At 39.9% G+C, this 9,624-nt stretch overlaps 1 annotated feature.

Moving 5' to 3' along the window:
- Positions 1 to 9,624: part of a centromere (Linear centromere model derived predominantly from reads generated in PMID: 17803354. This region does not represent an actual centromere sequence, as long-range ordering of repeats and unmapped WGS contigs is not provided by the model. For details of model production, see http://arxiv.org/abs/1307.0035.) that runs on past both edges of the window.

Here is a 9,624-nt window from a genome sequence, read left to right on the forward strand (position 1 = left end):
TGATAGAGCAGTTTGGAAACACTCTTTCTGTAGAATCAGCTTGTTTGTATTTGGACCTCCTTGAGGCCTTCGGTTGGAAACGGGTTTTCATCTTATAAACCCAGACAGAAGAATTCTCAGAGTCTTCTTTGTGATGTGTGCTTTCAACTCACCGAGATAAAGATTTCTCTTGATAGAGCAATTTGGAAACACTCTTTTTGTAGAATTTGCAAGGGTACATTGAGAGCGCTTTCAGGCCTATGGTAGAAAAGGGAATATCTTTCCATAAAAGGTAGACAGAAGCAATCTCAGAAACTACTTTGTGATGTGTGCATTCAACTCACCGAGTGCAACATTCCTCTTGATAGAGCAGTTTGGAAACATTGTTTCTGTAGAATCTGCAAGTGGATATATGGACCGCTTTGAGGCCTTCGTTGGAAACGGGATTTCTTCCTATAAACCCAGACAGAAGAATTCTCAGAGATTTCTTTGTGATGTGTGAATTCAACTCACAGTGTGGATCCTTCCTTTTGATAGAGCAGTTTTGAAACACTGTTTTTGTAGTATTTCCAAGCGGATATTTGGAACGCCTTGAAGCGTATGGTAGAAAAGGAAATATCTTCCCATAAAACCTAGACAGAACCCATCTCAGAAACGACTTTGTGATGTCTGCATTCAACTCACAGAGTTGAACATTTCTCTTGATAGAGCAGTTTTGAAACCCTCTTTCTGAAGGATCTGCAAGTGGATATTTGGAACTCCTTTGGGTCTTCGTTGGAAACGGGATTTCTTCGTATAAATCCAGACAGAAGAATTCTCTGAAACTTCTTTGGTTGTGTGCATTCAAGTCACAGAGTGGAACCTTCCTTTGGATAGAGCAGTTTGAAACGCTGTGGTTGTAGTATTTCCAAGCGGATATTAGAGCGCCTTGAAGCCTATGGTAGAAAAGGAAATATCTTCCCATAAAACCTAGACGGAAGCAATCTCAGAAACTACTGTGTGATGGCTGCATTCCACACACACGGTGGAACATTTCTCTTGATAGAGCAGTTTTGAAACACTCTTTCTGTAGAATCTGCAAGTGGATAATTGGACCGCCTTGAGGCCTTCGTTGGAAACGGGATTTCTTCATGTTACTCTAGACAGAAGAATTCTCAAACACTGCTGTGTGATGTTTGCATGCAAGTCACAGAGTGCAACATTCCTCTTGATAGAGCAGTTGGGAAACACTCCTTTTGTAGAATTTGCAATGGGATATTTGGACTTCTTTGAGGCCTTCGTTGGAAACGGGATTTCTTCGTATGAATACTAGACAGAAGAATTCTCAGAAACTTCCTTGTGATGTGTGCATTCAACTCAGCGAGTGGCACCTTCCTTTGGATACAGCAGTTTTGAAACACTGTTTTTGTAGTATTTCCAAGCGGATATTTAGAGCGCCTTGAAGCCTATGCTAGAAATGGAAATATCTCCCCATAAAACCAAGACAGAAGCAATCTCAGAAACTAATGTGTGATGGCTGCATTCCACACACACGGTGGACCATTGCTCTTGATAGAGCAGTTTTGAAACACTCTTTCTGTAGAATCTGCAAGTGGATAATTGGACCTCCTAGAGGCCTTCGTTGGAAACGGGATTTCTTCATCTAAACCTACAGAGAAGAATTCTCAGTAACTTCTTCGGATGTGTGCATTCGACTCACAGAATGGAACATTCCCTTTGATAGAGCAGTTTTGAGACACCGTTTTTGTAGAATTCCCAAGTGGATATTTAGAGCACTTTGAAGTCTCTGCTAGAAAAGGAAACATCTTCATGTAAAAAGTAGATAGAATCGTTCTCAGAAAGTGCTTAGTGACGTGTGCGTTCAACTCACAGAGTTTAACGTTTCTTTTGATAGAGCGTTTCTGAAACACCCTTCTTGTAGTAGCTGCAAGTGGATATTTGGACCTATTTGAGGCCTTCTTTGGAAACGGGATTTCTTCATGTAACTCTAGATTGAAGAATTTTCAGAAACTCCTTTGTGAAGTGTGCATTCAATTCAAAGAGTGAAACGTCCCTTTTCACAGAGCAGTTTTGAAACACTGTTTTTGTAGGATTTCCAAGGGGATATTTATAGCGCATTGAGCCTATGGCAGAAAAAGAAACATCTTCCTATAAAAACTAGACAGAATAATTCTCAGAATCTGCTTTGCGATGTGTGCGTTCAACTCACAGAGTAAAACTTTTCTTTTGATAGAGCAGTTTTGAAACACTCTTTTTGTAGTATTTGCATGTGTATATTTAGAGCGCATTGAAGCCCACAGTAGAAAAGGAAATAACTTCACCTAAAACCTAGACAGAAGCAATCTCAGAAACTATTTTGTGATGTGTACATTCAACTCACAGAGTGGAACTTTCCTCTTTATAGAGCAGTGTTGAAACACTCTTTTTGTAGAAACTGCAAGTGGATATTTGGACCTTCTTTGAGGCCTTCGTTGGAAACGGGATTTCTTCCTATAACCCTAGACAGAAGAATTTTCAGAAACCTCATTGTGATGTGTGCGTTCATCTCACAGAGTGGAGTCTTCCGTTTGATAGAGAAGTTTTGAAACCCTGTTCTTGTAGGATTTCCAAGTGGATATTTAGACCACTTTGAAGCCTATGATAGAAAAGGAAACATCTTCATGGAAAACATAGATAGAATCATTCTCAGAAACAACTTTGTGATGTGTGCGTTGAACTCACCGTCTTTAACCTTTCTTTTGGTAGAGAAGTTTTGAAACACTCTCTTTGTAAAGTCTACAAGTGGATATTTTGAGCCCTTGGAGGCATTCTTTGGAAAAGGGAATGTCTTCACATAAAAGGCAGACACAAGTGTTCTCAGAAACTGCTTTGTGATGTCTGTGTTCAACTCACAGAGTTTAACATTTCCTTTGAGAGAGCGGTTTAGTAACACTCTCTTTGTAGAATTTGGAAGTGTATACTAAGAGCGCTTTGAGGCCTATGGTAGAAAAGGAAATATCTTTCCATAAAAGCTAGACAGAAGCAATCTCAGAAACTCCTTTGTGATGTCTGCATTCAACTCACCGAGTGGAACATTCCTCTTGATAGAGCAGTTTGGAAACACTCTTTCTGTAGAATCAGCTTGTTTGTATTTGGACCTCCTTGAGGCCTTCGGTTGGAAACGGGTTTTCATCTTATAAACCCAGACAGAAGAATTCTCAGAGTCTTCTTTGTGATGTGTGCTTTCAACTCACCGAGATAAAGATTTCTCTTGATAGAGCAATTTGGAAACACTCTTTTTGTAGAATTTGCAAGGGTACATTGAGAGCGCTTTCAGGCCTATGGTAGAAAAGGGAATATCTTTCCATAAAAGGTAGACAGAAGCAATCTCAGAAACTACTTTGTGATGTGTGCATTCAACTCACCGAGTGCAACATTCCTCTTGACCGAGCAGTTTGGAAACATTGTTTCTGTAGTATCTGCAAGTGGATACTTGGACCTCTGTGAGGCCTTCGTTGGAAACGGGATTTCTTCCTATAAACCCAGACAGAAGAATTCTCAGAGACTTCTTTGTGATGTGTGAATTCAACTCACAGTGTGGATCCTTCCTTTTGATAGAGCAGTTTTGAAACACTGTTTTTGTAGTATTTCCAAGCGGATATTTGGAACGCCTTGAAGCGTATGGTAGAAAAGGAAATATCTTCCCATAAAACCTAGACAGAACCCATCTCAGAAACGACTTTGTGATGTCTGCATTCAACTCACAGAGTTGAACATTTCTCTTGATAGAGCAGTTTTGAAACCCTCTTTCTGAAGGATCTGCAAGTGGATATTTGGAACTCCTTTGGGTCTTCGTTGGAAACGGGATTTCTTCGTATAAATCCAGACAGAAGAATTCTCCGAAACTTCTTTGGTTGTGTGCATTCAAGTCACAGAGTGGAACCTTCCTTTGGATAGAGCAGTTTGAAACGCTGTGGTTGTAGTATTTCCAAGCGGATATTAGAGCGCCTTGAAGCCTATGGTAGAAAAGGAAATATCTTCCCATAAAACCTAGACGGAACCCATCTCAGAAACGACTTTGTGATGTCTGCATTCAACTCACAGAGTTGAACATTTCTCTTGATAGAGCAGTTTTGAAACACTCTTTCTGTAGAATCTGCAAGTGGATAATTGGACCGCTTTGAGGCCTTCGTTGGAAACGGGATTTCTTCATGTTACTCTAGACAGAAGAATTCTCAAACACTGCTATGTGATGTTTGCATTCAAGTCACAGAGTGCAACATTCCTCTTGATAGAGCAGTTGGGAAACACTCCTTTTGTAGAATTTGCAATGGGATATTTGGACTTCTTTGAGGCCTTCGTTGGAAACGGGATTTCTTCGTATGAATCTAGACAGAAGAATTCTCAGAAACTTCCTTGTGATGTGTGTATTCAACTCAGCGAGCGGCACCTTCCTTTGGATACTGCAGTTTTGAAACACTGTTTTTGTAGTATTTCCAAGCGGATATTTAGAGCGCCTTGAAGCCTATGCTAGAAATGGAAATATCTCCCCATAAAACCAAGACAGAAGCAATCTCAGAAACTAATGTGTGATGGCTGCATTCCACACACACGGTGGACCATTTCTCTTGATAGAGCAGTTTTGAAACACTCTTTCTGTAGAATCTGCAAGTGGATAATTGGACCTCCTAGAGGCCTTCGTTGGAAACGGGATTTCTTCATCTAAACCTACAGAGAAGAATTCTCAGTAACTTCTTCGGATGTGTGCATTCGACTCACAGAGTGGAACATTCCCTTCGATAGAGCAGTTTTGAGACACCGTTTTGGTAGAATTCCCAAGTGGATATTTAGAGCACTTTGAAGTCTCTGCTAGAAAAGGAAACATCTTCATGTAAAAAGTAGATAGAATCGTTCTCAGAAAGTGCTTAGTGACGTGTGCGTTTAACTCACAGAGTGTAACGTTTCTTTTGATAGAGCGTTTCTGAAACACCCTTCTTGTAGTAGCTGCAAGTGGATATTTGGAACTATTGGAGGCCTTCTTTGGAAACGGGATTTCTTCCTGTAACTCTAGATTGAAGAATTTTCAGAAACTCCTTTGTGATGTGTGCATTCAATTCAAAGAGTGAAACCTCCCTTTTCACAGAGCAGTTTTGAAACACTGTTTTTGTAGGACTTCCAAGGGGATATTTATAGCGCATTGATCCTATGGCAGAAAAAGAAACATCTTCCTATAAAAACTAGACAGAATAATTCTCAGAATCTGCTTTGCGATGTGTGCGTTCAACCCACAGAGTAAAACTTTTCTTTTGATAGAGCAGTTTTGAAACACTCTTTTTGTAGTATTTGCATGTGTATATTTAGAGCGCATTGAAGCCCACAGTAGAAAAGGAAATAACTTCACCTAAAACCTAGACAGAAGCAATCTCAGAAACTACTTTGTGATGTGTACATTCAACTCACAGAGTGGAACTTTCCTCTTTATAGAGCAGTGTTGAAACACTCTTTTTGTAGAAACTGCAAGTGGATATTTGGACCTCTTTGAGGCCTTCGTTGGAAACGGGATTTCTTCCTATAACCCTAGACAGAAGAATTTTCAGAAACCTCATTGTGATGTGTGCGTTCATCTCACAGAGTGGAGTCTTCCGTTTGATAGAGAAGCTTTGAAACCCTGTTCTTGTAGGATTTCCAAGTGGATATTTAGACCACTTTGAAGCCTATGATAGAAAAGGAAACATCTTCATGGAAAACATAGATAGAATCATTCTCAGTAAACAACTTTGTGATGTGTGCGTTGAACTCACCGTCTTTAACCTTTCTTTTTTTAGAGAAGTTTTGAAACACTCTCTTTGTAAAGTCTACAAGTGGATATTTTGAGCCCTTGGAGGCATTCTTTGGAAAAGGGAATGTCTTCACATAAAAGGCAGACAGAAGTGTTCTCAGAAACTGCTTTGTGATGTCTGTGTTCAACTCACAGAGTTTAACATTTCCTTTGAGAGAGCGGTTTAGTAACACTCTCTTTGTAGAATTTGGAAGTGTATACTAAGAGCGCTTTGAGGCCTATGGTAGAAAAGGAAATATCTTTCCATAAAAGCTAGACAGAAGCAATCTCAGAAACTCCTTTGTGATGTCTGCATTCAACTCACCGAGTGGAACATTCCTCTTGATAGAGCAGTTTGGAAACACTCTTTTTGTAGGATCAGCTTGTTTGTATTTGGACCTCCTTGAGGCCTTCGTTGGAAACGGGTTTTCATCTTATAAACCCAGACAGAAGAATTCTCAGAGTCTTCTTTGTGATGTGTGCTTTCAACTCACCGAGATAAAGATTTCTCTTGATAGAGCAATTTGGAAACACTCTTTTTGTAGAATTTGCAAGGGTACATTGAGAGCGCTTTCAGGCCTATGGTAGAAAAGGGAATATCTTTCCATCAAAGGTAGACAGAAGCAATCTCAGAAACTACTTTGTGATGTGTGCATTCAACTCACCGAGTGCAACATTCCTCTTGACCGAGCAGTTTGGAAACATTGTTTCTGTAGAATCTGCAAGTGGATATTTGGACCTCTTTGAGGCCTTCGTTGGAAACGGGATTTCTTCCTATAAACCCAGACAGAAGAATTCTCAGAGATTTCTTTGTGATGTGTGAATTCAACTCACAGTGTGCATCCTTCCTTTTGATAGAGCAGTTTTGAAACACCGTTTTTGTAGTATTTCCAAGCGGATATTTGGAACGCCTTGAAGCGTATGGTAGAAAAGGAAATATCTTCCCATAAAACCTAGACAGAACCAATCTCAGAAACGACTTTGTGATGTCTGCATTCAACTCACAGAGTTGAACATTTCTCTTGATAGAGCAGTTTTGAAACCCTCTTTCTGAAGGATCTGCAAGTGGATATTTGGAACTCCTTTGGGTCTTCGTTGGAAACGGGATTTCTTCGTATAAATCCAGACAGAAGAATTCTCCGAAACTTCTTTGGTTGTGTGCATTCAAGTCACAGAGTGGAACCTTCCTTTGGATAGAGCAGTTTGAAACGCTGTGGTTGTAGTATTTCCAAGCGGATATTAGAGCGCCTTGAAGCCTATGGTAGAAAAGGAAATATCTTCCCATAAAACCTAGACGGAAGCAATCTCAGAAACTACTGTGTGATGGCTGCATTCCACACACACGGTGGAACATTTCTCTTGATAGAGCAGTTTTGAAACACTCTTTCTGTAGAATCTGCAAGTGGATAATTGGACCGCCTTGAGGCCTTCGTTGGAAACGGGATTTCTTCATGTTACTCTAGACAGAAGAATTCTCAAACACTGCTATGTGATGTTTGCATTCAAGTCACAGAGTGCAACATTCCTCTTGATAGAGCAGTTGGGAAACACTCCTTTTGTAGAATTTCAATGGGATATTTGGACTTCTTTGAGGCCTTCGTTGGAAATGGGATTTCTTCGTATGAATCTAGACAGAAGAATTCTCAGAAACTTTCCTTGTGATGTGTGCATTCAACTCAGCGAGTGGCACCTTCCTTTGGATACAGCAGTTTTGAAACACTGTTTTTGTAGTATTTCCAAGCGGATATTTAGAGCGCCTTGAAGCCTATGCTAGAAATGGAAATATCTCCCCATAAAACCAAGACAGAAGCAATCTCAGAAACTAATGTGTGATGGCTGCATTCCACACACACGGTGGACCATTTCTCTTGATAGAGCAGTTTTGAAACACTCTTTCTGTAGAATCTGCAAGTGGATAATTGGACCTCCTAGAGGCCTTCGTTGGAAACGGGATTTCTTCATCTAAACCTACAGAGAAGAATTCTCAGTAACTTCTTCGGATGTGTGCATTCGACTCACAGAATGGAACATTCCCTTTGGTAGAGCAGTTTTGAGACACCGTTTTTGTAGAATTCCCAAGTGGATATTTAGAGCACTTTGAAGTCTCTGCTAGAAACGGAAACATCTTCATGTAAAAAGTAGATAGAATCGTTCTCAGAAAGTGCTTAGTGACGTGTGCGTTCAACTCACAGAGTTTAACGTTTCTTTTGATAGAGCGTTTGTGAAACACCCTTCTTGTAGTAGCTGCAAGTGGATATTTGGACCTATTTGAGGCCTTCTTTGGAAACGGGATTTCTTCATGTAACTCTAGATTGAAGAATTTTCAGAAACTCCTTTGTGATGTGTGCATTCAATTCAAAGAGTGAAACCTCCCTTTTCACAGAGCAGTTTTGAAACACTGTTTTTGTAGGATTTCCAAGGGGATATTTATAGCGCATTGAGCCTATGGCAGAAAAAGAAACATCTTCCTATAAAAACTAGACAGAATAATTCTCAGAATCTGCTTTGCGATGTGTGCGTTCAACTCACAGAGTAAAACTTTTCTTTTGATAGAGCAGTTTTGAAACACTCTTTTTGTAGTATTTGCATGTGTATATTTAGAGCGCATTGAAGCCCACAGTAGAAAAGGAAATAACTTCACCTAAAACCTAGACAGAAGCAATCTCAGAAACTACTTTGTGATGTGTACATTCAACTCACAGAGTGGAACTTTTCTCTTTATAGAGCAGTGTTGAAACACTCTTTTTGTAGAAACTGCAAGTGGATATTTGGACCTCTTTGAGGCCTTCGTTGGAAACGGGATTTCTTCCTATAACCCTAGACAGAAGAATTTTCAGAAACCTCATTGTGATGTGTGCGTTCATCTCACAGAGTGGAGTCTTCCGTTTGATAGAGAAGTTTTGAAACCCTGTTCTTGTAGGATTTCCAAGTGGATATTTAGACCACTTTGAAGCCTATGATAGAAAAGGAAACATCTTCATGGAAAACATAGATAGAATCATTCTCAGAAACAACTTTGTGATGTGTGCGTTGAACTCACCGTCTTTAACCTTTCTTTTGGTAGAGAAGTTTTGAAACACTCTCTTTGTAAAGTCTACAAGTGGATATTTTGAGCCCTTGGAGGCATTCTTTGGAAAAGGGAATGTCTTCACATAAAAGGCAGACAGAAGTGTTCTCAGAAACTGCTTTGTGATGTCTGTGTTCAACTCACAGAGTTTAACATTTCCTTTGAGAGAGCGGTTTAGTAACACTCTCTTTGTAGAATTTGGAAGTGTATACTAAGAGCGCTTTGAGGCCTATGGTAGAAAAGGAAATATCTTTCCATAAAAGCTAGACAGAAGCAATCTCAGAAACTCCTTTGTGATGTCTGCATTCAACTCACCGAGTGGAACATTCCTCTTGATAGAGCAATTTGGTAACACTCTTTCTGTAGAATCAGCTTGTTTGTATTTGGACCTCCTTGAGGCCTTCGTTGGAAACGGGTTTTCATCTTATAAACCCAGACAGAAGAATTCTCAGAGTCTTCTTTGTGATGTGTGCTTTCAACTCACCGAGATAAAGATTTCTCTTGATAGAGCAATTTGGAAACACTCTTTTTGTAGAATTTGCAAGGGTACATTGAGAGCGCTTTCAGGCCTATGGTAGAAAAGGGAATATCTTTCCATAAAAGGTAGACAGAAGCAATCTCAGAAACTACTTTGTGATGTGTGCATTCAACTCACCGAGTGCAACATTCCTCTTGATAGAGCAGTTTGGAAACATTGTTTCTGTAGAATCTGCAAGTGGATATATGGACCGCTTTGAGGCCTTCGTTGGAAACGGGATTTCTTCCTATAAACCCAGACAGA

The sequence above is a fragment of the Homo sapiens genome, chromosome 6 (assembly GCF_000001405.40).
Source record: "Homo sapiens chromosome 6, GRCh38.p14 Primary Assembly".
NCBI classification, from domain to species: Eukaryota; Metazoa; Chordata; class Mammalia; order Primates; family Hominidae; genus Homo; species Homo sapiens.